This window comes from Homo sapiens, chromosome 14, assembly GCF_000001405.40.
Source record: "Homo sapiens chromosome 14, GRCh38.p14 Primary Assembly".
In the NCBI taxonomy this organism is placed as follows: Eukaryota; Metazoa; Chordata; class Mammalia; order Primates; family Hominidae; genus Homo; species Homo sapiens.
Genome location: NC_000014.9, coordinates 34515714 through 34543553, shown reverse-complemented (window position 1 = coordinate 34543553; position 27840 = coordinate 34515714). Strand labels below are relative to the sequence as shown.

The 27840-nt window shown below is 44.7% G+C and overlaps 1 protein-coding gene and 2 long non-coding RNA genes across 5 annotated transcripts, besides 5 other annotated features; 2 read left to right on the top strand and 1 right to left on the bottom strand.

Annotated features, from left to right (window-relative positions):
* Positions 1–99: 99 nt before the first annotated feature.
* LOC112268123 (uncharacterized) lies at positions 100–2320 on the top strand. 2 transcript variants are annotated; one of them, XR_007064113.1, is made up of 3 exons: positions 144–183; positions 288–605; positions 1565–2320. It is a non-coding gene; the product is annotated as an uncharacterized LOC112268123 (long non-coding RNA). The 2 variants fall into 2 exon arrangements; XR_002957583.1 differs by having other exon boundaries at positions 100–605.
* LOC105370447 (uncharacterized) lies at positions 1848–3805 on the bottom strand. Its single transcript, XR_943739.1, has 2 exons — positions 3770–3805; positions 1848–3368 (listed from the first exon to the last, which is right to left on the bottom strand). It is a non-coding gene; the product is annotated as an uncharacterized LOC105370447 (long non-coding RNA).
* Positions 3676–3775: a silencer, noted in NCBI's record as "silent region_5665". NCBI's record gives its function as "represses an Ori minimal core promoter by ATAC-STARR-seq in GM12878 lymphoblastoid cells {active_cell/tissue: GM12878}" and the evidence as "EXISTENCE:reporter gene assay evidence [ECO:0000049][PMID:35858748]".
* Positions 3676–4650: a biological region, named in NCBI's record as "NANOG-H3K27ac-H3K4me1 hESC enhancer GRCh37_chr14:35008110-35009034".
* Positions 3726–4650: an enhancer, noted in NCBI's record as "NANOG-H3K27ac-H3K4me1 hESC enhancer chr14:35008110-35009034 (GRCh37/hg19 assembly coordinates)". NCBI's record gives its function as "activates a minimal SCP1, AML or CMV promoter by ChIP-STARR-seq in primed H9 embryonic stem cells {active_cell/tissue: H9 hESC(primed)}" and the evidence as "EXISTENCE:reporter gene assay evidence [ECO:0000049][PMID:30033119]".
* Positions 3853–27616, top strand: EAPP (E2F associated phosphoprotein). 2 transcript variants are annotated; one of them, NM_018453.4, is made up of 6 exons: positions 3853–3999; positions 7279–7460; positions 10015–10110; positions 14079–14196; positions 18747–18857; positions 26968–27616. In NM_018453.4, exons 1-6 carry the CDS (start codon positions 3926–3928, stop codon positions 27242–27244), a joined length of 858 nt encoding a protein of 285 aa, NP_060923.2. In that variant the 5' UTR covers positions 3853–3925; the 3' UTR covers positions 27245–27616. The 2 variants fall into 2 exon arrangements, with proteins under 2 accessions (NP_060923.2, NP_001305845.1); NM_001318916.2 differs by lacking the exon at positions 14079–14196.
* Positions 3916–4075: an enhancer, noted in NCBI's record as "active region_8254". NCBI's record gives its function as "activates an Ori minimal core promoter by ATAC-STARR-seq in GM12878 lymphoblastoid cells {active_cell/tissue: GM12878}" and the evidence as "EXISTENCE:reporter gene assay evidence [ECO:0000049][PMID:35858748]".
* Positions 5717–6011: a silencer, noted in NCBI's record as "tiled region #9667; HepG2 Repressive non-DNase unmatched - State 25:Art". NCBI's record gives its function as "represses a minimal TATA promoter and a strong SV40 promoter by Sharpr-MPRA in HepG2 cells {active_cell/tissue: HepG2}" and the evidence as "EXISTENCE:reporter gene assay evidence [ECO:0000049][PMID:27701403]".
* Positions 27617–27840: the final 224 nt, after the last annotated feature.

Genomic DNA, 27840 nt, shown 5'->3' with positions numbered 1-27840 from the left:
TGAGGCGGGAGAAAAACTTGAACCCAGGAGGCGGAGGTTGTAATGAGCCGAGATCGCGACATTGCACTCCAGCCTGGACGACAGAGTGAGACTCCGTCACAAAAAACAAAAAACAAAACAAGAACCAAAAAAAACACATAAAAAACAAACAACAACAACAACAAACGAAACCTCTAATCACAGGTCAGTTTTACTGTTTCTCAGGTCCAGACTCGTTCTGTGCTGTTGGCAGGGTATCCTGCAGTGGCCACTCCTGTCTTACTAACAGACCCTGATTTTGTCCACAGGATCAACACACCCAGCTAAAACAGCTCAACTTCCTCATCACACAACACAGTTCTGGCCAGTTAGACACACGTCCCCGGAAAGGGCATCTCCAGGAGAATAAAAAGGCCAAGCCACTTTTTGAAGAAAGTCTTTGTCCCTACCCCCTTTTTCTACCTGGAAGTCAGACTCAGGCCTGGAGTGTAGCGGCCGCCTTGGTACCTGGAAGCAACAATCATGGCCGGGAGACCTTACACCTGGCATGGTAGAGCAGACGGAGGAGGGGCCGCCTGGTGAATAGCCTGGCCAACAGCCCCAAACTGCTACCCCTTAAATTCTGGGTAGGTGAGAAAAATAAGTCCTGTCTAAGCTGCTCATTGTTTTAGTTACCTGTAGCCAAAGTTAAATCCTGCCTAAAAGGGTTCTCCCCTCATTTTTATATTACATGCCATTTTTTATTTTATTTTATTTTATTTTATTTTATTTTATTTTATTTATTTAGAGACAGAGTTTCGCTCTTGTTGCCCAGCCTGGAATGCAATGGCGCGATCTTGGCTCACTACAGCCTCTGCCTCCCAGGTTCAAGTGATTCTCCTGCCTCAGCCTCCCGAGTAGCTGGGATTACACGCACCCGCCACCACGCCCAGCTAATTCTTTTTTTTTTTTTGAGCCGGAGTCTCGCTCTGTCGTCCAGGTTGGAGTGCAGTGGCGCAATCTCAGCTCACTGCAAGCTCCACCTCCCGGGTTCACGCCATCCTCCTGCCTCAGCCTCCCGAGTAGCTGGGACTACAGGTGCCCGCCACTGCGCCTGGCTAATTTTTTGTATTTTTAGTAGAGACGGGGTTTCACCGTGTTAGCCAGGACGGTCTTGATCTCCTGACCTCGTGATCCGCCCGCCTTGGCCTCCCAAGGTGCTGGGATCACAGGCGTGAGCCACCACGCCCAGCCAAAAAGTTGTTTTAAAATTTTTTCGAGAGATAGGATCTCGCTTAGTTGCCCAGGCTGGTCTTGAACTCCTGGGCTCAAGCAATCTTCCCACTTTGGACCCCCACAGTGCTGGGATTACAGGGGTAAGCCACCACACCCAACCTCAATCTTCTTGTGATCTGTTATGTTGACAACCAAGACAGCTACTTAGTGGTTGGTTGATGGGTGGACAGTGTATACAGCATGGACACACTGGACAGAGGCATGACTCAATGTTCCAGGTAGGACGGCAACAGATTTCATCACGCTACTCAGAACAGCACAACATTTAAGACATAAATTGTTTCTGGAGTTTTTCATTTAGTATTTTCAGATTTCAGGTGACTGCTGTAACTTGAAGCAAGAAAAGTGAAACTACAGAAAAGGGAGGACCACTGGACGGCTGCTTTCATTCTACGCCCACTTTTTAGAGTGCATTCCTACAATAAGCACCCTAATAATGTAAACCAGGGGCCAAGGGATGCACCTTCCACTCTACTTCCTTCCCCAGAAAAGACCACCTTGGTAAATACAGAATGGCAAACGGTTAAGTGAAACACTGTATAGCTTCTGGCCCTATACTTAGTATTTCTTAACATTTACACAGCATTTTCACATTTCCAAAGCAGAGTACCAACATTTATTAATCCTCACAACACCCCTGTGAGGTAGGTCAGTATGTCCTTTAGAGTCGAGAACTGAGGCAGAGGTCAAGCAAACCTGCCCTGGGCCACAGAGCAGCAGATGAAGGGCCTAGACCTGGATCCAGAAGCTAGGGCTCTCGGTCCAGCATTCATCCACTGGTGGACATCACATGGGCTTATTTTTACCAGCGAAGGTTACGTGAAGGACAAAACGCACTCAGCCAGCAACGGAAACTCAACAGTTCAAACAGCACTGGGGAACATGTCAGTTAAAGAGACGAAACGCTGACCAGCTCATGAATGAGGCAAGACAACATGCGGCTGAGGAAGTGTGGAATCATCACGACTGGGGATTAGACCAAGAACGGGCGCTCAGGAGGGTTCAGGAAAATGTAAACAAACTAGGAACCCATCCAAGGGGTGACAGGCCCAAATGCCTACGGTCTCCAAATGGTAGAAAAATTAGAAAAAGATAGTGGAAAAATCCAACCACGCAACCTTAACTTTAAACTAGGAATGACAATAATGTGTCTAATGTTCATTCACACTAGAAAGGCCGATAATGTTTGTAATATAACTACTGGCGATAGTATCCTATTTGTATGCCAACTTTCATCTCAAGTATTCTGCTTTTCTTTCCCCACAGACAAACAAGTGTTGTTCTTTACAGCAGACCTCTTTCCCTCTACATACCAATCTATCCACTCGCATAACTACTAAGTGGCTCAATGGCCTATGTCTCATGCTTAATTGGCTGAGCTAGGCGCGGAATCCGGGAAACCACAACAGACTGTACTCTGCTCCTGTATTTCAGGAATAACTGTCACTAACCTGCTTCTGTCCGATTCCACCTTCTATGAAGTACACACAGAGGAGCAGTTCATTCTTTTGTAAAGGGATTGGTGGACTTTGTTCGAGATGCCATTTCAAAAGAAATGAGAAAAAAGAAAAACTAAGACCTGCACTGTAAAGCATAATACAGGAGTAGATTTATTACAGCTACTCCACATTTTAGAGAGTGCCACAGTGTCTCGGTAGGAGGCAGGAACCCGAGTTCCTGGTTCAGAAACAGGGTTAGAAACAGTCTCCCGATGGAGCTCAAGTGGCTGTCATCTGCCTGTTCTCCTCAGGTATCGAGTGGGATCAGTTGAGGGCTGAGCAAAAGTGGGGACTGGGAAGATGACGAGAAAAGATAACTTTTCGTAGATTGTTGAGGCCGCAGTCAGACTGAGGAGTGAACAGTGTGAAGGAGAGGTTGAGAGCCTCATGGTGTGGAAGGCATAAGGGTTAGAGGCGAGGTTGGAGGGATGTGGGTGCTGGTGTCTGAGGACTTATTGGATTTCGGGCTGTGTGTCCCTCAGCGTCTAGATTCCTGCTTCGTAGGTGATGAGACGCTGCATGTAGCATGTTCACCTCAGAGACTGTCACTTATGAGGGTGCCCATCATTATTATTTTTGGTGACAAGGTAGCTGCTATTTTCCTGTAAGCAGAAGCTGCGGAAGAAAATGGTGGGATTGGCCGGGAGCGGTGGCTCACGCCTGTAATCCCAGCATTTTGGAAGGTCGAGGTGGGCGGATCACCTGAGGTCCGGAGTTCGAGACCAGCCTCAACATGGAGAAACCCCCGTCTCTACTAAAAATACAAAATTAGCCGGGCGTGGTGGTGTATGCCTGTAATCCCAGCTACTCGGGAGGCTGCGGTAGGAGAATTGCTTGAACCTGGGAGGCGGAGGTTGCGGTGAGCCGAGATCGCGCCATTGCACTCCAGCCTGGGCAACAAGAGCGAAACTCCGTCTCCAAAAAACAAAACAAAACAAAAATGGTGGGATTAAGACCCGCCCCCGTCCCGTCCCCGCCCCTTTTCGCTCCTGCTCCGCCCCTTCCCCGCCTTCTACCTGCCTCCCTCGGTGCTGTCGGTCTGCGCGGGCGCGCAAGGGGGACTGGGACGTTCAGGCGGAAGTGGCGTCAGGGGCGCTTTAGGGACTGGACTTGCAGTGTAAACAGAGACGCTGCAAATTGCTTGTGGACGGTGTAGGCCGCTGCAGGCCACCATGAACCGGCTTCCGGATGACTACGACCCCTACGCGGTTGAAGAGCCTAGCGACGAGGAGCCGGCTTTGAGCAGGTGGGCTCCCGCCCCACCCTGGCCCCCGAGGATTTGGGTCGAGGCCTGGCTTTGGTCGCCTCCATTCGTTGCGCCTGCCGAGCCTACGCAGACCCTAGCGGCTCGGGAGCCTGTCGTGCCTGTTACTTGTGCGAAGCCAAAGGGCTTTCCTGATGGGGTCGCGCAGTCCCGGGGGGAGGCGGTGCCGATGTCGCCTGTAGGAAGAGGGATATTCCGGAATCACGGGGGACCGCGTGTAAATCTTCAAAAGCAATGAGATCGAAACCTGTCTCTACACCTTAGTAGCAGAGTGACGGAAGGCAAGTCAGTTATCCTCGATTACTCACCTGTAAAATTGAACTATAATAACATAATTGTATAACCTATATAACATAGTATAACACACTATGTTTGTTGTGAGGCTCACAGGACTTAATGTGAAGTGTCCATCTTGAAGACTAAACTGCCATAAACAGAAATAAGGGAATATTGAACAGCCTTTTTTATTTTTATTTTTTGACAGGGACTGTTGTATGCTCGCTCTGAGCTACAGAGATAAATCATAAGGTCCTTGTCTTCCAGAGGCTTATAGTATAATAAGGGTAATAAGATAAAGTATATATTTCTTGGCAGAGCATTGTAGAGAATATTGACCTGAGATAGGCACAGAAGAAGGTTCGTGGGATTTCCAGAAGGGTGGGCTTTATTCTACCAGGGAAACTTGAAGCTGTTTTGCCGAGATATTTCCACACAAATTTAGTTATTTCTTAAGCTGTCAGCAGATCCTATTCTTAAACTTTAAAACATTCATTCTGCCTAAAGAAGCTTTCTGTAAAGCCATGCTTTCATTAACAACTTTGGCTGGGTGTGGTGGCCCATGCCTGTAATCCCAGGACTTTGGGAGTCTGAGGCGAGAGAATCTCTTAAGCCTGGTAGTAAAGGAACAGCCTGGGCAACATAGTGAGACCTCATTTCTTAAAAAAAAAAAAAATCAAAAGAACAATGTTTCCTCATATTGTCATGGGGAGACATTGGATGCATGGGAAATCAGACTGCTGTTAAGATTTCTTTTGTTGGGAGTGAGGATAGATACCAGGATTCCCTGTGAAAAAGAGTTTCAGTTAATGGGTCCTGTCTGTGAAAGGAGGTATGTATATATGTATGTCTCAATTATTTATTTATTTATTTATTTATTTTGAGACAGAGTCTCACTCTGTCAGCCAGGCTGGAGTGCACTGGTGCAATCTTGGCTCACTGTAGCCTCCACCTCCTGGGTTCCAGCAATTCTCCTGCCTCAGCCTCCTGGGTAGCTGGGATTACAGGCATGCGCTACCACACCTGGCTTATTTTTTGTATTTTTCGTAGAGATGGGTTTTCACCACGTTGGCCAGGCTGGTCTTGAACTCCTGACCTTAGGCAATCTGCCTGCGTCGGGCTCCCAAAGTGCTAGGATTACAGGCCTGAGCCACGGAGCCAGGACTGTTGTATCATTTTTTTAAGGAAGCTTTATAATTCTGTGACAGTTGCCACTGGTAAGGTAACTGTAAAGATAAATATTATAAAAACAAAACAATGTTATCAGACAGTATTGCCTGTTGTAGGCTCTGAGCCAAATGGTTATTATTTTAAAAAGGGAGATTAGTGTTAGAGAGGTGTCTGTCAGTATTTAATTTTACACTGTTTATAAACTAATACATTGTAGCCTGTTAACTGTTTCACGGTAGCTGACCGAAGACATGAGACTCCTGGGTCAAAGATAAGACTACACATAGCACAGCAAGCAGCATGAGCATCATGTTTGTGTGGCTTGCTCTTGCTTGTCAACCCTACAGGTATTACGCTGAGGGTCCTAGAAGAATGCTGCACATTCAGTGGGTTGGCATCGTGGCTAAAGACTACTTGAGCTTGGAGAATCCACCTCTTTCATAGAAGACAGTAAATACATCTGCTCTTTGTCCTGGAAGGAGACATTATCTCATTCCTCAAGGTTGTTGTTCGCTGCAAACACAATCCTGAGAAATGGCTGGAGTGAACAGTGGTCAGAACCTTGCATTCTTGGCATACTTAACTTGCATATCTAGGGTCCATGATGTATGACTGCCTTTCTCAGCAGTGCTGAAAACTGAGACTTTGGTTGAGATAATGACAAGGATTGAAGAAAATTTGTAGAAAAAATAGCTCTCACTTTGTGATTCAGTTTTTAAAAATTAAACATTTTATTTTGAAGTTTTCGTAGATTCACATTCAGTTATAAGAAATAATACAGGTCTGGTGCAGTGGCTCACATCTGTAATCCCAGCACTTTGGAAGGCCAAGGCAGGAGAATCACTTGAGCTCAAGAGTTCAAGACCAGCCTGAGCAACATGATGAAATCATGTCTTTACTGAAAATACAAAAAATTAGCTGGTATGGTGGTGCATATCTGTGGTCCCAGCTACTCAGGAGGGTGAGGCGGTTGGTTGGCTTGAGCCTGGGAGGCGGAAGTTTCAGTGAGCCAAGATGGCACCATTGCACTCCAGCCTGGGCAACACAGGGAGACCCCCATCTCAAAAAATAAAAAATAATAAAAAAAAAAGAAATAATACAGAGAGATCCTGTGTACTCTTTCCCCAGTTTCCTCCAGTGTTAACATACTACAAAACTATAGTGCAGTATCACAACCAGGATATCTATCTATCTATATATCTATCTATGTATTTTTTGAGACGGATTCTGAATCCTGTAATCCCAGCTACTTGGGAGACTGAGGCAGGAGAATCGCTTGAGCCCAGGAGGTGGAGGTTGCGGTGAGCAGAAATCATGCCACTGTACTACAGCCTGGGCGACAAGAGCGAGACTCTGTTTCAAAAGAAACAAACAAACAAACAAACAAAAAAACCATCCTGGGCAACATGGCGAAACCCCATTTCGACAAAAATTAAACAAAACAAAACAAAACAAAAAAACAGCTGGGAATGGTGGTATGTGCCTGTAGTTCCAGCTACTGGGGAACCCGAGGTGGGAGGATTGCTTGAACTGGGGAGGTGGAGGTTGCAGTGAGCTGAGATCATGCCACTGCACTCCAGGTTGGGTCACAGACTGAGATGCCATCTCAAAAAAAAAAAAAAAAAAAAAAAATTAAAGAAGATTGGAAATATGCAGAACTGGCTTATTAAGTGAGAATAGCTATATGTAATGTATAAGTACATCAAATGTAACCATGTAATACTTAAAATTGTTGTTGGACAGTGAGATGCTGGGAGTTTAAAATTATTTTAATTTTTAAATATTCATATTCTTTTTGATTTAAATGTATGCTAGCTCTGAGGATGAAGTGGATGTGCTTTTACATGGAACTCCTGACCAAAAACGAAAACTCATCAGAGAATGTCTTACCGGAGAAAGTGAATCATCTAGTGAAGATGAATTTGAAAAGGAGATGGAAGCTGAATTAAATTCTACCATGAAAACAATGGAGGACAAGTTATCCTCTCTGGGAACTGGTAAACTTTTGGTTCAATTTTATATATATTTTTGTAAGCTCTGTAAGGGCAGGAACCTTATTTGTGCTCTTCTATGTTCCCAGCACTTTCAGTAGGTGCTCAATAAATATTTATTGAATGAAGGAGTGAATGTATTTGGCAGTCTGAGCTAGAGTCTTCCTTTTCTCATTTAAAAAAGTTATTTATTTATTACTTTAGATTCAATGTCTCATTCTGTTACCCAGGCTGGAGTGCAGTGGCATGATCATAGCTCACTGTAGCCTAAAACTCCTGGGCTCAAATGATCTTCCCACCTCCGTTTCTTGAATAACTGAGATTACAGGCATGTACCACTGTGCCCAGATAATTAAAAAAAAAATTTGGGCCGGGCACGGTGGCTCACGACTGTAATCCTAGCACTTTGGGAGGCCGAGGCGGGCGGATCACGAGGTCAGGAGATTGAGACCATCCTGGCTAACACGGTGAAACCCTGTGTCTACTAAAAATACAAAAAATTAGCCGGGCGTGGTGGCAGGCGCCTGTAGTCCCAGCTACTCGGGAGGCTGAGGCAGGAGAATGGCATGAACCCAGGAGACGGAGCTTGCAGTGAGCTGAGATCACGCCACTGCACTCCAGCCTGAGCGACAGAGCGAGACTCCATCTAAAAAAAAAAAAAATCTGTAGCGACCGGGTGCAGTGGCTCACACCTGTAATCCTAGCACTTTGGGAGGCCGAGGTGGGTGGATCACCTGAGGTCAGGAGTTCGAGACCAGTCTGGCCACCATGGCGAAACCCCGTCTCTACTAAAAATACAAAAATTAGTTGGGTGTGGTGGCACGTGCCTGCAGTCCCAGCTACTTGGGAGGCCGAGGCAGGAGAATTGCTTGAACCCGGAAGGCGGAGGTTGCAGTGAGCTGAGATCGCGGCACTGCACCCCAGCCAGGGCAACAGAGTGAGACTCCGTCTCAAAAAAAAAAAAGGCCAGGCGTGGTGGCTCATGCTTGTAATCCCAGCACTTTGGGAGGCCGAGGCAGTGGATCACGAGGTCAGGAGTTTGAGACCAGCCTGGCCAATACAGTGAAACCCCATCTCTACTAAAAATACAAAAATTAGCTGGGCTTGGTGGCACGTGCCTGCAGTCCGAGCTACTCAGGAGGCCAGGCAGGAGAATCGCTTAAACCCGGGAGGCAGAGGTTGCAGTGAGCCGAGATTGTGCCATTGCACTCCAGCCTGGGTGACAGAGCTAGACTCCGTCTCAAAAAAAAAAAAAAAAATTTGTGGAGACAGGGTCTCACTATGTTGCCCAGGCTGGTCTTAAACTCCTGGCTCAAGTGATCTTCCTGCATTGGCCTCCCAAAGTGCTGGGATTATAGGTATAAACTATTGTGCCTGGCTTGGAGTTTGTTTGATGACTGTCTTGTGTTCTTGGAAAGAGATTAGTTAATACTGTTTACTTGCATAATTTTATTTTGCAGTTTTTACTCGAGTTAAAAAAAAAAGACACACAAACTTACAAAAGTATTTTTAGGGTTAGATGGCACTAAAATGTGGCAGATTTAATTATGTATCATCACAAATTTCTGTTTCACTTTAGTGAGTAATGAAACATAGTTCATTTTGATACTTGGTCTTTATGTAAAATGTACCTGACCTGAAAACTGGTTTGTGAAAGTAGGACTCTTCTGCCGGGTGCAGTGGCTCACGCCTGTAATCCCAGCACTTTGGGAGGCTGAGGTGGGTGGATCATGAGGTCAGGAGCTCAAGACCAGCCTGGCCAACATGGTGAAACCCTGTCTCTACTAAAAACACAAAAAATTAGCTGGGAGTGACGGCAGTTGCCTATAATTCCAGCTACTCGGGAAGGTCAGGCAGGGGAATCACCTGAACCCAGGTGGCAGAGGTTGCAGTGAGCCGAGATTGTGCTATTGCACTCCAGCCTGGGCAACAGAGTGAGACTCAGTCTCAAAAAAAAAAAAAAAGGAAGTAGGACTCTTCAGCATTGATTTCCACCCTGATATGCTATGTATTAGCTGGAAAAATCTGAAAGCATATAAAAATATAATAAAAACTAAAGCAGATGCTAACTAAGAGGAATTAGGGATATGGGCATATGATGACATAAGTATAGGTAATGTCATGGTCCTGGGCACAACTGAGGAGAAGAATGTGTCCTTGACTCATTCCTCCTGCCTTCCTATAGGGTTCTTACCCTTTTTCTCCTAATGTTTCTTAGAACAAAATGTTTGTTCTATGTTCTGCATGGTATACTGTATGACTGAAAGGTAGAGATATGTGTGCTGGCAACCTGAAAATATCGCTATTTTATTTAATGAGATTTGTGGGAAGGGAGAGAGAAGAATTTTCTCAAGATTTGGAACATTTTAAGGAGGGCCAGTTCTCTGTAACTGTATAGGGCATAGACATCGAGTAATTCACTGATGTGAAAATATTTCACCATCAAATGAGTTTGTGAATGAGTTGATATTGTTTTGAGGTGATGGAAGAATATATGGAGTTTTTTGCCTTGTGAATTATGTATGATTTAGTCTGTAAACTTTACTTCTGGTTTGAATAGGATCTTCCTCAGGAAATGGAAAAGTTGCAACAGCTCCGACAAGGTACTACGATGATATATATTTTGATTCTGATTCCGAGGATGAAGACAGAGCAGGTAAGTAACCTATTTACCAGGTTTAGCAGTTATATTTTATAAAAAAGGTTTACCTAACAATTATTAGATGTTAGGATTTCCCTCTGAGTTTGGTCTTTTAAGAAATTACAGCTAGGCATGGTGGCTCACACCTGTAATGGCAGCACTTTGGGAGGCTGATGCAGGCAGATCACCTGAGGTTGGGAGTTTAAGACCAGCCTGACCAACTTGGTGAAACCCCATCTGTACTAAAAATACAAAAATAAGCCGGGCATGGTGGTGCACGCCTGTAGTCCCAGCTACTTGGGAGGCTGAGGCAAGAGAATCAGTTGAACCCAGGAGGCGGAGGTTGCAGTGAGCTGAGATTGCACCATTGCACTCCAGCCTGGGCGACAGAGTGAGACTGTCTCAAATAAATAAATAAATAAATAAAGTGGATGCCATTGATGTGAAAACAAAAGCAGGATTGATTAATAAGAAAAACTGGGGGCTGGGCATGGTGGCTCACGCTTGTAATCCCAGCACTTTGGGAGGCAGAGGTGGGCAGATTGCCTGAGGTCAGGAGTTCTAGACCAGTCTTGCCAACATGGTGAAACCCCATGTCTATTAAAAATACAAAAAAATTAGCCAGGCTTGGTGCCATGCACCTGTAATCCCGGCTACTCAGGAGGATGAGACAGGGAAGTTGCTTGAACCAGGGAGGTAGAGGTTGCAGTGAGCTGAGATCGCATCATTGCACTCCAGCCTGGGCAACAGAGTGAGACTCCGTCTCAAAAAAAAAAAAAAAAAAGCTGGGGACACAGGCATGTGAGGACATGGCACCAACAGTGGTGCTGCTTGGATGTACCTAGGGAGTGAGAGAGAGTGTGTCCCAACTCAATACCTCCCCTCCTCAGGGCTTTTCCCCCCTCTTCCTTTAGGTTTCCTATAGTAGCAATATTTGTTTTCATGCCTGAAAATAGTTTCTATGTTTTAATCCTCCTGCAGAATTTTTTTTTTTTTGAGATGGAGTTTCGCTCTTGTTGCCCAAGCTGGAGTGCGATGGCACCACCATCTTGGTTCACTGCAACCTGTGCCTCCCGGGTTCAAGCAATTTTCCTGCCTCAGCCTCTTGAGTAGCTGGGTTTACAGACGCCTGTCGCCATGCCTGGCTAATTTTTTGTTTTTTTAGGAGAAACGGGGTTTCACCATGTTAGCCAGGCTGGTCTTGAACTCCTGACCTCAGGTGATCCACCCGCCTCAGCCTCCCAAAGTGCCGGGATTACTGGTGTGAGCCACCGCGGCCTGGCCTCCTCCTGCAGAATTTTTCTTAATGCGTTGATTTTTAATCAGCCTCTATGTTCAAAATTGAATTTTTCTTTCTTTCTTTCTTTCTTTTTTTTTTTTTTTGAGACGGAGTCTCGCTCTGTCACCCAGGCTGGAGTGCAGTGGCGCAATCTCAGCTCACTGCAAGCTCTGCCTCCTGGGTTCACGCCATCCTCCTGCCTCAGCCTCCCGAGTAGCTGGGACTACAGGCGCCCGCCACCACACCCGGCTAATTTTTTGTATTTTTAGTAGAGAAGGGGTTTCACTGTGTTAGCCAGGATGGTCTTGATCTCCTGACCTTGTGATCCACCCACCTCGGCCTCCCAAAGTGTTGGGATTACAGGCGTGAGCTACTGTGCCCGGCCTGAAAATTGAATTTTTATAAAATTTGAGCAAAGTTGAACATAACAAGAGCTAAAACTAATTATTTCAGTAATTACAATGAAATATTCAAATAGCAAATTTCTGTGGTAAAGAACAATATTATACTTTTATGCATTGTTACTTAAATATTGACCTGTTAGAATGTATGTGTTTGTTTATTTATTTATTTATTTTGAGACAAAGTCTCGCTCTATCGCCCAGGCTGGAGTGCAGTGGCGTCATCTCAGCTCACTGCAAGCTCTGCCTCCTGGGTTCACACCATTCTCCTGCCTCAGCCTGCTGAGTAGCTGGGACTACAGGTGCCCGTCACCACGCCCGGCTAAATTTTTGCATTCTTAGTAGAGATGGGGTTTCACTGTGTTAGCCAGGATGGTCTCGATCTCCTGACCTCGTGATCCGCCCGCCTCAGGCTTCCAAAATGCTGGGATTACAGGCATGAGCCACCGCGCCCAGCCTTGTTTATTTATTTTTTAGGCAGAGTCCCACTCTGTCACCCAGGCTGGAGTGCGGTGACACAGTCTTGGCTCACTGTAGCCTCTGCCTCCTGGGTTCAAGCGATTCTGGTGCCTCAGCCTTCCTGGTAGTTGGGACTACAGGCACAAGCTACCATACCCGGTTACTTTTTGTATTTTTAGAAGAGACAGGATTTCGCCATGTTGGTCATGCTGGTTTGAAACTCCTGATCTCAGGTTGTCTGCCCACTTTGGCCTCCCAAAGTTCTGGGATTACAGGCATGAGCCACCACTCCCTGCCTGCTAGAATACATTCAAAAAGTCTAGTGTATGTAGATGGCCATAGTTTTTTTTTTTCTCTTTTTTTTTGTTTTTTTCCTCTTCCTTTCTTTCTTTCTTTTTTTTTTTTTTTTTTTTTTGGTAAAGATTGGGTCTTGCTTTGTTGCTTAGGCTGGTGTCAAATTCCTGGCTTCAAGCAATCCTCCCAAAGTGCTGGTATTACAGATGTGAGCCACTGTATCTGACCTCATACTGTTTTTTTTAATTCACTTTTGAAATATTTTTGTTCTAATTTTAGTAGCATTTTATATATATATTCATACATCATAAATAATTTCTATTCTTGGCTTGTTTTGAGTGGCTCTTTTGAGTCTCTGAATTCTCATTGTTTGAACTTAGTCCTTGAGATACCAGTTTTGGGTAAATAAACAATTTTTGCCTCCTCTGTCATTTTAATGCCTTATTAGTTGGAGAAGAACTTTATTTTTTAAATTTTTGTTAAATTTTTTACTTTTTTAGAGATAGGTCTCACTCTTACCCAGTCTCCAGCAGTGCAGTGGTGCAATTATAGCTCACTACATCCTCAGACTCCTAGGCTCAAGCCATCCTCCCAGCTCAGCTTCCCTAGTAGCTAGGACTACAGGTGTGCCTGGCTAATTTTTAATTTTTATTTTTGTAGAGATGGGGTCTCATTATGCTGGCCAGGCTGGTCTTGAACTCCTGGCCTCAAGCGATCCTCTTGTCTCAGCCCCTCAAAGCTCTAGGATTATAGGTTGTGAGCTACCGCACCCTACCTGGACAAGCACTTGTTTAGATGAAGGGTTTTTTTTAACTTTTTTTTTTTGAGACGGAGTTTTGCTCTTGTTGCCCAGGCTGGAGTGCAATGGCGTGATCTCGGCTCACCACACCCTCCACCGCCTGGGTTCAAGTGATTCTCCTGCCTCAGCCTCCCAGGTAGCTGGGATTGTAGGTGCCTGCCACCACGCCTGGCTAATTTTGTATTTTATTTTATTATTTTCTTTTTCTTTGAAACGGAGTCTCGCTCTCATCACCCAGGCTGGAGTGCAGTGGCACGATTTCGGCTCACTGCAACCTCTGCCTCCTGGGTTCAAGCAGTTTTTCTGCCTCAGGCCCCCAAGTAGCTGGGATTACAGGTGCCTACTACCATGCCCAGCTAATTTTTATATTTTTAGTAGAGAGGCGGTTTCACCATGTTGGCCAGGCTGGTCTCGAACTCCTGACCTCAGGTGATCTGCCCACCTTGGTCTCCCAAAGTGCTGGGATTACAGGCGTGAGCCACCGCACCTGGCCCTAATTTTGTATTTTTAGTAGAGACGGGGTTTCGCCATGTTGTCCAGGCTGGTCTCGATCTCCTGACGTCAGGTGATCCACCCACCTTGGCCTCCCAAAGTGCTAGGATTACAGGTGTGAGCCACTGCGCCCGTCCCTTTTTTAACTTTTTAGGGAAAATATAAATAAATGTGTAGCTTGGGAAATGAGACTCTTCATTTAAAGAAGTGTGAACTTGACACATGATTCTTAGCCATATCCTAATATTTTCAAAATTAGTACAGGTGACCAAGAAAAAAAAGAAGAAACAACACAAGATTCCAACAAATGACGAATTACTGTATGATCCTGAAAAAGATAACAGAGATCAGGCCTGGGTTGATGCACAGAGAAGGGGGTAAGAACTTAAAGTTAATATTTAGAATCTTTAGAAAAAAAGATTGAAAGATGATTTTTACTACATTCACATTTTGAATATATGTGTATATGTTTACACAAACACACACACACAAACAAAAAAGTTAGAGGAAAAAACTGCTCAGTAGTTTATTTTGAAAATAACCAGCAAATTTTAGTGAGACTTTTTTTTAAAATTTTTTAAATTTTTATTATTATTTTTGAGACAGAGTCTTGCACTGTCGCCTGGGCTGGAGTGCAGTGGCGCGATCTTGGCTCACTGCAACCTCCGCCTCCTGCGTTCAAGAGATTCTCCTGCCTCAGCTTCCCGAGTAGTTGGGATTACAGGCGCCTGCCACCACACACAGCTAATTTTTTGTATTTTTAGTAGAGACCGGGTTTCACCATGTTGGCCAGGCTGGTCTCGAACCCCTGACCTCGTGATTCACCTGTCTCGGCCTCCCAAAGTGCTGGGATTACAGGCTTGAGCCACTGCATCCAGCCCGACAATTGTTTTTTTGTTTTTTTTTAAACTTGTTGAATTTAGGCTGCGTTAGTCAATCTCTCCCTCAAGAAAAACTGACTTTTTTTTTCAGATGCTGTTTTAAATTACTTTGAGATTAAGAGTTTATGTGGATGGGCCAGGGTGGTGGCTTATACCTGTAATCCCAGCAACTTTGGGAGGCCGAGGCAGGTGGATCACCTGAGGTCGGGAGTTTGAGACCAGCCTGGCGAACATAGTGAAACTCTGTCTCTACTAATACAAAAATTAGTGGGGCCATAGTGGCGCACACCTGTAATTCCAGCTACTCAGGAGGCTGAGGCGGGAGAATTGCCCAAACCTGGGAGGTGGAGGTTGCAGTGAGCTGAGATCACGCCACTCCACTCCAGCCTGGACGACAGAATGAGACCCTATCTCAAAAAAAAAAAAAAAAAAAAAAAAGGGTTTTGTGGATGAAGAGTGGATTTAGCAAATTGTTCTTTTTAACTACTTACAAATTTGATTTTTAAAAATTGAGATGAGGCTGGGCATGATGGCTCACACCTGTAATCCCAGCACTTTGGGAGGCCAAGGCGGGCGGATCACTTGAAGTCAGGAGTTCAAGACCAGCCTGGCCAACATGGCGAAACCCCATCTCTACTAAAAATACAAAAATTACCTTGGCATGGTGGTGTGTGCCTGTAATCACAGCTACTCTGGAGGCACAAGAATCGCTTGATCCCAGGAGGTGGAGGTTGCAGTGAGCTGATATTGTACCACTGTACTCCAGCCTGGTCGACTGAATGAGACTGTCTCAAAAAAAAAAAAAAAATTGAGATGAGGCTACTCTAGGTACACTGCTTATGGAGTAGCCCTGCTCTGCAAGGAGCAGTTAAAAATTTTTTTTGAGATAAAATTCACATAACAAAAGTACCCACTTTAAAAGTGAACAATTTAGTGGCATTTAATACCATTCACAATGTTGCACAGCCACCACTTTTATGTAGTTTCAACCATTTTCATCATCCCAAAAGGAAACGCTGTACTGTTAGGTAGTTTCCCTACCCTTCCCCTCAGCCCCTTGGCAGCCACTGATCTGTGCACTGTCTCTGTGGATTTGCTTATTTTAGATATTTCTTATGAATGGGATATTATACAGTATGTGACCTTTTATATCTGGCTTCTTTCACTGGGCATAGTGCTTTTGAAGTTCATCTACATTTTAGCACATGTCAGTACTTCTCTACTTTTTATGACTGAATAGTATCCCATTGTATGTGTATACCACAATTTGTTTATCCTTTCATCCACTGAGGGATGGATGTTTGTGTTGTTTCCACACCCTCTGCCCCCACCTTTTTTTAAGAGATGCCTGGGCTGGAGTGCAGTGGTGCAGTTATAGCTCACAGTATCCTCAAACTTCTGGGCTCAAGCACTCCTCCTGGTTCAGCTTCCTGAGTAGCTGTGACTGTAGGCACACACCGCCTCCCGGGTTCAAGCACTCCTCCCACCTCAGCCTTCTGAGTAGCTGGGACTATAGGCACACACCACCTGGCTAATTAAAAAAATTTTTTTAATAGAGAGGTCTAGCTGTGTTGCCCAAGGTGATCTTGAACTCCTGGCCCCAGGTGATCCTCCTGTCTTCACCTCCTGTGCTGGCATTACAGGTGTGAGCCATTGTGCCAGGCCATTTTTTTTTTTTTTTTTTTGAGACGGAGTTTTGCTCTTGTTGCCCAGGCTGGAGTGCAAATGTGATCTTGGCTCACCGCAACCTCCTCCTCCCAGGTTCAAGCGATTCTTCTGTCTCAGCCTCCTGAGTAGCTGGGATTACAGGCATGTGCCACTGCACCTGGCTAATTTTGTATTTTTAGTAGAGATGGGGTTTCTCCATGTTGGTCAGGCTGGTCTCGAACTCCTGACCTCAGATGATCCACCTGCCTCGGCCTCCCAAAGTGTTGGGGTTACAGGCATGAGCCACCGCACCCGGTCATTTTTTTTTTAATTTAAAGACAGGGTCTTGCTGTGTTGCCCAGACTGTAGTGCACTGATGCTATCATACCTCAATGTAGCCCTGAACTCCTGGGCTCAAATGATCCCCCTGCCTCAGCCTCCTGAGTCCATGCTTGTTTTTTTTGTTTCTAATTTAATTTTTAATAGACACAAGGTCTTGCTATGTTGCCCAGGCTGATCTTAAACTCCTGGGCTCAAGCAATCCCCTCCTACCTTGGCCTCCTTAAGTGCTGGGATTAAAGGTGTGAGCCACCATGCCCGGTTTATGCTTGTTTATTTTTATTTTCATTTTTTTTTTTATTTTCTTATAGAGACAGGGTTTCACCATGTTGCCCAGGCTGGTCTCAAACTCCTAGGCTCAAGTGATCTGCCCACCTTGGCCTGGGATTACAGGTGTAATTCCAGCCTGGCTCTATGCTTGTTTTTGTTTTTGTTTTTTTGGGACAGAGTCTCGCTCTGTTGCCCAGGCTGGAGTGCAGTATCGCAATTTCGGCTCACTGTGACCTCCACCTCCTGGGTTCAAGCAGTTCTCTGCCTCAGCCTCCCAAGTAGCTGAGATTATAGGTACCCGCCACCATGCCTAGCTAATTTTTGTATTTTTAGTAGAGACGGGGTTTCACCATGTTAGCCAGGCTGGTCTTGAACTCCTGACCTTGTGATCCACCCACCTCAGCCTCCCAAAGTGCTGGGATTACAGGCGTGAGCCACCATGCCCAGCCTGTGTGCTTGTTTTTTAATGTAGCTTTACTGTTTTTAAAAAATTCATGGACTTTTATTTTTGGTACACTTGTCACAATTAATGGACTAATATTGATACATTATTATTTTTTTTATTTTTTATTTTTTTGGAGACAGAGTCTCGCTCTGTCGCCCAGGCTGGAGTGCAGTGGCGTGATCTCGGCTCACTGCAAGCTCCGTCTCCTGGGTTCAACCGATTCTCCTGCCTCAACCTCCTGAGTAGCTGGGACTACAGGCATGTGCCACCACGCCCAGCTAATTTTTGTATTTTTTTAGTAGAGATGGGGTTTCACCATGTTGGCCAGGATGGTCTTGATCTCTTGACTTCGTGATCCGCCCGCCTCGGCCTCCCAAAGTGCTGGGATTACAGGCGTGAGCCACCGAGCCCGGCCTTGATACATTATTATTAATCAAAGTCCATAATTTTAAAACATTTCCTTAGTTTTTATGTACTGTTCTTTTTCTGTTTGAGGACCCCGTGTAGGATAGTACATCACTTTTAGTTGTCATGTCTCCCTGGGCTCTTCTTGACTCTGTCAGTTTCTTAGACTTTCCTTGTTTTCAGTGCCCTTAATTACTTTGAGGAGCACTAATCAGGTCTATGTAGGAGGCCCCTCTGTTGGAATTTGTCTGTTGTTTTTTCTCATAATTAGGATGGGATTATGGATTTTTATAAGTAAGAACATAGAAGTAGAGAGCCATTTTCCTCACATTATATCAAGAGTACATACTACCAACCTGAGTTTTGTGTGTTGGTATTGACCTCGATCACCTTGCTGACCAGTGTTAACTTTCTCTACTGTAAAGTTAGTCTTTTACCCCGCCTTACCATACCGTACTCTTTGGAAGGAAGTCACTGTGTCCAACCCAGACTTAAGGACTAGGGAGTTATACTCCACCACTGTGAGGGAAGAGCATCTTTATAGATTATTTAGAATTCTGTGTGGGGATTTGTCTGTTCTCCTCCATTTATTTATTTATTCAGTACATTTATATTAGCGTGGATTCGTGGGTATTTATACTTTGGGTTGTAATCCAGTCCTACTTTATTTTGTTGCTCAGTTTCAGCTTTGGCAGTTGGTGACTTGTTCAGTTGGCTCCTGTTTCCCTTTGTCATAACCACCTCACTGTTTTGTTTTTGTTTTCTTGATTACTTCCTTCTTTTCTGGCACTAAAAGATGCTCCAGGTTCATCTTGTGTTCCTTATTCCTAGAATTAGCCATTTCTCTGAATAGTACTGGTTCTTTTTATTGGAAAATGACACTAGAAACCAAGATCTGGTTTTAATATGTTTTTCTCCCCACTTTCTTCTTCTGTTCTAGTTACCATGGTTTGGGACCACAGAGATCACGTCAACAACAGCCTGTTCCAAATAGTGATGCTGTCTTGAATTGTCCTGCCTGCATGACCACACTTTGCCTTGATTGCCAAAGGTAATGGATGAAGGACACACACACACACACACACACACATACATATTTTGTTTAAATTAGAAACAGACTTTTTTTTTTTTGAAGTCAGAGTCTTACTCTGTTGCCCAGGCTGGAGTGCAGTGGCACAATCTCGCCTCACTGCAACCTCCGCCCCGTGGGTTCAAGCGAGTCTCCTGCCTCAGCCTCCCAGGTAGCTGGGATTACAAGCGGCCACCACCATGCCTGGCTAGTTTTTGTGTGTATCTAGATCTAGATCTAGATCTAGATAGATAGATAGATAGATAGATATAGTTTTGTTTTGTTTTGTTGAGATGAAGTCTCACTCTGTCGTACAAGCTGGAGTATAGTGGTGCAATCTTGGCTCGCTGCAACCTCTGCTGCCCAGGTTCAAGTGATTCTTCTGCCTCAGCCTCCAAGTGGCTGGGATTACAGGTGCCTGCCACCACACCCGGCTAATTTTTGTAGTTTTAGTACAGACAGGGTTTCACCATCTTGGCCAGGCTGATCTTGAACTCCTGACCTTGTGATCCACTTGCGTTGGCCTCCCAAAGTGCTGGGATTACAGCTGTGAGCTACCACGCCCGGCCTTATTTTTATATTTTTAGTAGAGACAGGGTCACACCATGTTGGCCAGGTTGGTCTTGAACTCCTGACCTCAAGTGATCTGCCCACCTCGGCCTCCCAAAGTGCTGGGATTACATGCGTGAGCCACTGTGCCCAGCCCAGAAACAGACTTTTGAGGTACTCAGGAATTCTGATAAAGTTCTGTACTTAGATTCTTGGTGCTGTGTGACTAATCTTTATACAATTAATTTTGATTATATATAGTTATATTAAATGTAGCTTTTATACTTTTAAAGTTGGGCACAGTGACTCATGCCTGTAATCCCAGTGCTATGGGAGGCTAAGGCGATCACTTGAGCCTAGGAGTTTGAGACCAGCCTAGGCAACATAGTGATACCTCATCTCTACAAAAAATAAAAAAATAAAAAATTAGCTGAGTATAGTGATGTATGCGTGTAGACCCAGCTACTCGATAGGCTGAGGTGAGAGGATGGCTTGAGCTCAAGAATTCAAGACTGCAGTGGGCTGTGACCACCACTGCACTCCAGCCTGGGCAACAAAACAAAGGTGAGATCCCCATCTCTCTCTCCAAAAAAAAAAAAAAAACGGGCTGGGCGTGGTGGCTCACGCCTGTAATCCCAGCACTTTGGGAGACCGAGGTGGGCGGATCACGAGGTCAGGAGATCGAGACCACGGTGAAACCCTGTCTCTATTAAAAATACAAAAAATTAGCCGGGCATGGTGGCGGGCGCCTGTAGTCCCAGCTACTCCGGAGGCTGAGGCAGGAGAATGGCGTGAACCCAGGAGGCGGAGCTTACAGTGAGCCGAGGTCACGCCGCTGCACTCCAGCCTGGGCAACAGAGCGAGACTCCGTCTCAAAAAAAAAAAAAAAAGGTATCTTTTCTAGTGCAAAATAGCAGCATAGAAGCAAACTGGCTCTCCTTCCCCCTGCAGAATACCAAAACCAAATATACAGCACTGAAGCTATCACCACCAGTATCCCAGATCTCAATATAAGGAGGAGACAGTTTCTAGGGCCACAGAGAAGTAAAAAAAACTTAAAGCAGACAGTAAGAGAATTGTTCTTCCATATCTGCTTATCCTTCTCCACAATCTGCCTGGCACCAAGTGAGCAGAAAAATTCCCCTGAGCTCATGATTTTTACATTAGAAAAAGTAAGATGGAAGTGTACAACCAGCTTCTTTACCTTTTTGAGTTCTCTGGTAAGAGATCTGTCCCTGCCTCAACTCATAGGAAGCACTGAGAGTGCCTGAAGGAAAAAATATCCCTGAGGATAGCCAGAGACAAAGAAGGATAGCCAGAGACAAAGCCAGGTCCCAAGTGTGAACCCCTAGCCAGCATTCCCATCCTACTGGGATATCCCTATCCTCTTTGGGACCCACCCCCCACTTCATTTGGAACAGGCAGCACGCTCAGTGTTTACTAGAACTGAGGCTTAAAGTGCCATCTGGTGCCAAAAAGGAAGCAATGACGTAGTGGGAAGAAAGGAAAAAGAAAGAATATCAACATGCAAATTGCAAATTACAAAGAATCTCTAGGCAAACATATCTAATAACCAAAAAAAAGCAAAGCAGAGAAGACTGGAACAAATAACTAATCCTTCAATACAAAGATGTACATTTACATCCACAAGACACAGTAGCAAATGGAACCATGACCTCTTCAAATGGACAAAACAAGGAATCAAGTGAACCCTTATCACATATCACATATCACAATACTGTGATATGTGAACTCTCTGACCAAGAATTCAAAATAGCAGTTTTAAGAAAACTGAGTGATCTCCAAGACAGCCCAGGCAATTCAGAAATTTATCAGATAAATTTAACAGAGATCGAAATAATTAAAAAAATTATGGGCACAGTGGCTCATACCTGTAATCCCACTACTTTGGGAGGCCAAGCTGGGAGGATGGCTTGAGGCCAGGAGTTTGAGACCAGTCTGGGCAACATAGTAAGACTCTGTCTCTACAGAAAACGAAAAAAACTTAGTTGGTGTCTTGGCATACGCTTATAGACCCAGCTACTTTGGAGGCTGAGGTGGGAAGATCACTTGAGCCCTGGAAGTCGAGGCTGCAGTGAGCCATGATTGTGCCACTGTACTCCAGAATGGGTGGCAGAGTCAGACTCTGTCTCTAAAAGAAGAACAAAATAAAATAAAACAGAAATCTGGGAACTCAGCCGGGCACAGTGGCTCACGCCTGTAATCCCAGCACTTTGGGAGACTGAGGAGGGCTGATCACGAGGTCAGGAGATCGAGACCATCCTGGCTAACATGGTGAAACCCCGTCTCTACTAAAAATACAAAAAATTAGCTGGGCGTGGTGGCATGTGCCTATAGTCCCAGCTACTCGGGAGGCTGAGGCAGGAGAATCGCTTGAACCCAGGAGGCAGAGGTTGCAGTGAGCCGAGATCATGCCACTGCATTCCAGCCTGCGCAATGGAGCGAGACTCCATCTAAAAAAAAAAAAAAAAAAGAAATCTGGGAACTCTGAGAAATATATTTGCTGAACTAAAAAATTCATTAGAGGCTCTCAACAGCAGAAGGGATCAGCAAAAGAAAGAATCAGTGAGCTTAAAGATAGACTGTTTGAAAATGCACAATCAGAGGAGAAAGAAAAGGTATGAAGGTCTACAAGATATAAAATATTATCTCAAAAGATTAAATCTAAGAATTGGTACTCAGGAGGGAGTAGAGCAAAAGCAAGGAGTAGAAAGCTTATTCAAAAAATTAATAGCAGTAGCTGGGGATGGTGGCTGACACTTGTAATCCCAGCACTCTGGGAGGCGGAGGTGGGTGGATCACCTGAGGTCAGCAGTTCGAGACCAGCCTGGCCAACATGGTGAAACCCTGTCTCTACTAAAAATGTAATCAAATTAGCTGGGCGTGGTGGTGCATGCCTGTAATCCAAGCTACTCGGGAGGCTGAGGCAGGAGAATCGCTTGTACCCAGGAGGCGGAGGTTGCAGTGAGCTGAGATCACACCATTGCACTACAGCCTGGGCAACAAGAGCAAAACTTGGTCTCAAAAATAATAATTATAATAATAGCAGAAAATGTTCCAAAACTTGAGAAGGAGATATTTATGGCCAGAGAACACCAAACACATTTGACTCAAATAAAACCACCCCCAGGCATATAACAATAAAACAGTAAAACTGTCCAAAGGTTATGGACAAAGAGAGGATCTTGAAAGGAGCAAGATAAATGAAGCAAATAGCATATAAAGTAGCTACAGTTCATCTGGCAACAGATTTCTCAGTGGAAAGCATACAGATCAGGAGGGAGTGGAATGAAAAAAAAAAATGCCAGGCTGGGTGTGGTGGTTTATCCTGTAATCCCAGCACTTTGGGAGGCGGAAGCGGGTGGATCACTTGAGGCAGGGAGTTTGAGACAAGCCTGGCCAACACGGTGAAACCCCTCTGTACTAAAAATATTAAAAAATTAGCTGAGCATGGTGGCATTTGCCTATAATCCCAGTTTTTTGGGAGGCTGAGGCACGAGAATTGTTTGGACCTGGGAGGCACAGGTTGCAGTGAGCTGAGATTGCACCACTGCATTCCAGCCTGGGGGACAGAGTGAGACTCTGTCTCAGAAATAAAGGGCTAGGTGTGGTGGCTCATGCCTGTAATCCTAGCACTTTGGGAGGCAGGGGAGGGTGGATCACCTGAGGTCAGGAGTTCAAGGCCAGCCTGGCCAACATGGTGAAACTCTGTCTCTATTAAAAATACAAAAATTAGCTGGGCGTGTTGGCGCGTGCCTGTAATCCCAGCTACTGGGGAGGCTGAGGCAGGAGAATTGCTTGAACCAAGGAGGTGGAGGTTGCAGTGAGCCAAGATCACACCACTTCACTCCAGCCTGAGTGACAGAGTGAGACTCTGTCTCAAAAAAAGAAGAAAAAAATAAAGAGAGAAAAGAAAGAACTGGGCCAGGCATGGTGGCTCATGCCTGTAATCCTAGCACTTTGGGAGGCTGAGGCAGGTGGATCACCTGTGGTCAGGAGTTCGAGACCAGCCTGGCCAACATGGTGAAACCCCATCTCTACTAAAAATATAAAAAATTAGCCGGAAGTCGTGGCGGACACCTGTAATCCAAGCTTACTCAGCAGCCTGAGGCAGGAGAATCACTTGAACCAGGGAGGTGGAGGTTGCAGTGAGCCAAGATTGCGCCACTGCACTTCAGCCTGGGCAACAAGGGCGAAACTCTGTTTCAAAAAAAAAAAAAAAAGAAAAGAAAGAACCTTGTTATAACTGTAAGTTTTTTTTTTGTGATTTCATGATAACCATAATGCAAAAACCTATAATAGATTCACCAAAATCAAAAAGCAATGGATTAAAACATACTACCAGAGAAAATCACTTAATCACGAAGGAAGACAGTAAGGAAGGGAAGAGTTACAAAACAACCAGAAAAAAAGCAGCAAAATGCCAGTAGTTGTATTAGTCTGCTCTTGCACTGCTATAAGGAAATACCCGAGACTGGATAATTTATAAAGAAAGAAGTTTAATTGGCTCATAATTCCACAGGCTGTATAGGAAGCATGGCTGGGGAGGTCTCAGGAAACTTTTTTTTTTTTTTTGAGAGGGAGTCTTGCTTGTCACCCAGGCTGGAGTGCAGTGGCACGATCTTGGCTCACTGCAACCTCCACCACCCAGGTTCACGCAATTCTCCTGTCTCAGTCTCCCAAGTAGCTGGGACTACAGGCACACACCACCACTCCTGGCTAATTTTTGTATTTTTAGTAGAGGTGGGGTTTCACCATATCGGTCAGGCTGGTCTTGAACTCCTGACCTCAGGTGATCCACCCGCCTTGACCTCCCAAAGTGCTGGGATTACAGGCTTGAGCCAGTGCACCTGGCCAGGAAACTTTTAATGATGGCAGAAGGCAAAGGGGAAGCAGGCACATCTTACATGGCCAGAGCAAGAGGAAGAGAGAGAGGGGAGGTGCCACATACTTTTAAACAATCAAATCTTGTGAGTACTCACTATCACAAGAGCAGCACGAGGGGGAAGTCTGCCCCCAAGATCTAGTCACCTCCCACCAGGTCCCACCTCCAACATTGGAGATTACAATTTGACATGAGATTGGGGCAGGGACACAGACCCAAGCCACATCAGTAGCAAATCCTTACTTATCAGTACTAACACAATGTAAATGGACTCACTTCTCCAATTTAAAGGCAGACAGTGGCTGAATGGATCAACAAACAAGACTCAACTATATGCTGCCTAGAAGAAACTTGCTTCACTTGTAAGGACACATGGACTGAACATGAATGGGAAAAGATATTTCATGCAGCTGGAAACCAGTATAGGAATAGCTGTCCTTAAAACAGACTACAATCAAGGACTGTAAAAAGGAAACAAAGAAGTTTACTATATAAAGGGGTCAATTCAGCAAGAGGAATTTATATAACAGTATAAATATCTATGCAGCCAACATTGGAACTCCCAGGTATATAAACATTAATAGATCCAAAGGGGCTGGGCGCAGTGGCTCACGCCTGTAATCCCAACACTTCAGGAGGCCGAGGTTGGTGGATCACAACGTCAGGAGATTGAGACCAGCCTGGCCAACATGGTGAAACCCCATCTCCACAAAAATACCAAAATTAGCTGGGCATGATGGCGGGTGCCTGTAATCTAGCTACTCAGGAGGCTGAGGTGGGAGAATCACTTGAAGCTGGGAGGTGAAGGTTGCAGTGAGCCAAGATCGTGCTATTGCACTGCAGCCTGGGTGACAGAGTGAGACTCCATCTCAAAAAAAAAAAAAAAAAAAAAAAAAAATCTAAAGGGAGAGATACAATACAGTATTAGTATTGCAATACAATAATAGTAGGGGACTTCAACACTCCACTCTCAGTAATGGACAGATCATCCAGATAGAAAACCATAAAGAAACATCAGAGTTAAACTACACAGTAGACCAAAGAAGCCTAACTGACATTTACAGAACATTTCACCCAAATAATCTAATGATACACCTCAAGGAACTAGAAAAGCAAGGACAGACCAAATCCAACATTAATAGAAGGAAAGAGGCTGGGCATGGTGGCTCACACCTGTAATCCCAGCACTTTGGGAGGCTAAAGCAGGCAGATCACGAGGTCAGGAGTTTGAGACCAGCCTGACCAACCTGGTGAAACCCTGTCTCTACTAAAAATACAAAAATGAGCCAAGTGTGGTGGCGTACACCTTTAATCCCAGCTACTCAGGAGGCTGAGGCAGGAGAATCGCTTGAACCCGGGAGGCAGAGGTTGCAGTGAGCCGAGATCACACCATTGCACTCCAGCCTGGGTGACAGAGCGAGACTCCATCTCAAAAAAAAAATTAATTTATTAAATAAAATAAAAGGAAAGAAATAATAAAGATCAAGGCAGGAATGAATGAAATTGAGACCCCAAAAAACCCAAACAAACAAGCCAGAAGATTAATGAAATTAAAAGTTGATAATTTTAAAAGATACAATTGACAAACCTCTTAGAAAAAAAGAGAGAAGGCCCAAATAAATTAGAAATAGAAAAGAAGGCATAACAACTGAGACCACAGAAATACAAGGAATCAGGCTAGGCACGGTGGCTCATGCCTGTAATCCCAGCACTTTAGGAGGCCGAGGTGGACAGATTACCTGAGGTCAGGAGTTCAAGATGAAACTGACCAACATAGTGAAACCCTGTCTCTACTAAAAAATACAAAATTAGCCAGGTGTGGTGGTGCATTCCTGTAATCCCAGCTACTTGGGAGGCTGAGGCAGGAGAATCACTTGAACCCGGGGGGCAGAGGTTGTGGTGAGCTGAGATCACGCCATTGCACTCCAGCCTGGACAACAAGAGTGAAACCCCATCTCAAAAAAAAAAAAAAAAAGAAATAGAATCGTCTGGGTGCGGTGGCTCACGCCTGAAATCCCAGCACTTTGGGAGGCCGAGGCGGGCAGATCACAAGGTCAGAAGATCGAGACCATCCTGGCTAACACAATGAAACCCCATCTCTACTAAAAATACAAAAAAATTAGCCAGGCATGGTGGCGGGCGCCTGTAGTCCCAGCTACTCGGGAGGCTGAGGCAGGAGAATGGCGTGAACCCAGGAGACGGAGCTTGCAGTGAGCCGAGATCGCGCCACTGCACTCCAGCCTGGGCGACAGAGCGAGACTCCATCTCAAAAAAAAAAAAAAAGTTACTTTCAAAAAGCAGAAGGAAAGAGGATACATTTCTTCCTTACACTGTTACATACTAAAATGTTTCTTCTGCCTGGTGCAGTGGCTTGTGCCTGTAATCCCAGCTACCAGGGAGGCTGAGGCAGGAGGATCACTTGAGGCTAAGAGTTCAAGGCTGCAGTGAGCTGTGTTCACAAGTTTTAATTATTCTTAAAACAACTGTTTAAAATTTCTTTAAACTTGCTGTTTTGTTCCTGTGTCTTGTCTTTGGTTGGTATTTCAGTAAGTTTTTGGTATTCTCAAATTTTATCTAAATGGATAAACTATTAACATAGAACATAAACCCCAATTCTCCATTTCATTTTTCTCTTAGGCATGAATCATACAAAACTCAATATAGAGCAATGTTTGTAATGAATTGTTCTATTAACAAAGAGGAGGTTCTAAGATATAAAGCCTCAGAGAACAGGAAGAAAAGGCGGGTCCATAAGAAGATGAGGTCTAACCGGGAAGATGCTGCCGAGAAGGCAGAGACAGATGTGGAAGAAATCTATCACCCAGTCATGTGCACTGAATGTTCCACTGAAGTGGCAGTCTACGACAAGGATGAAGTCTTTCATTTTTTCAATGTTTTAGCAAGCCATTCCTAAACAGCCCAACTGGCATTTAATTACCCAATACTGTATATAAGGCAAATATGGACAGTTACTTTCCTCTTGCCTGTTCATATCCTTCAGTGACATTGAGGAAGCAGTGTTTCTCTTTTTAAAGGAGAATAGTTGTCAACCTTCATTCATCTCTTACATCTCTCACCCTCTCCTTTTTTTTTTCTTTGATTTTCCCCCTTATTGATGGGACTGATATTCATTCTGTTTTTGATGAACATTTGGAAACTGTCGGGCTTTTTATTAAAGCTCTGTAGAATTAAAATGTTCTGGAATTATAAGCAATCTTTGTTTCTGAGTGTTATTTTTATTTTGGATATAGCTTTGATGTAATTAAACTGGAAACTCTTTCCTGAATTGTCTGTATTGTTTTTGCTAAGATGTATCTTTATTCACCCCCACCCCACATGATGAATGACAGTATTTAGTAACTGTTACAATTGCGTGGAATAGGCTGGTAGCTTTGGCTCCTGCCTGTAATCCCAGCACTTTGGGAGGTCAAGGCGGGTGGATCAGGAGTTCAGGAGTTTAGGAGTTTGAGACCAGCCTGACCAACATGGTGAAACGCTGTCTGTCTCTAC

Bases quoted from the DNA above. Each gene is read 5' to 3' on its own strand.
- EAPP (NM_018453.4), top strand. From the start codon at position 3,926: ATGAACCGGCTTCCGGATGACTACGACCCCTACGCGGTTGAAGAGCCT. The intron at 7,461-10,014 runs GTAAACTTTTGG...TGGTTTGAATAG, and splicing joins GTTATCCTCTCTGGGAACTG to GATCTTCCTCAGGAAATGGA. The intron at 14,197-18,746 runs GTAAGAACTTAA...CTTCTGTTCTAG, and splicing joins GTTGATGCACAGAGAAGGGG to TTACCATGGTTTGGGACCAC.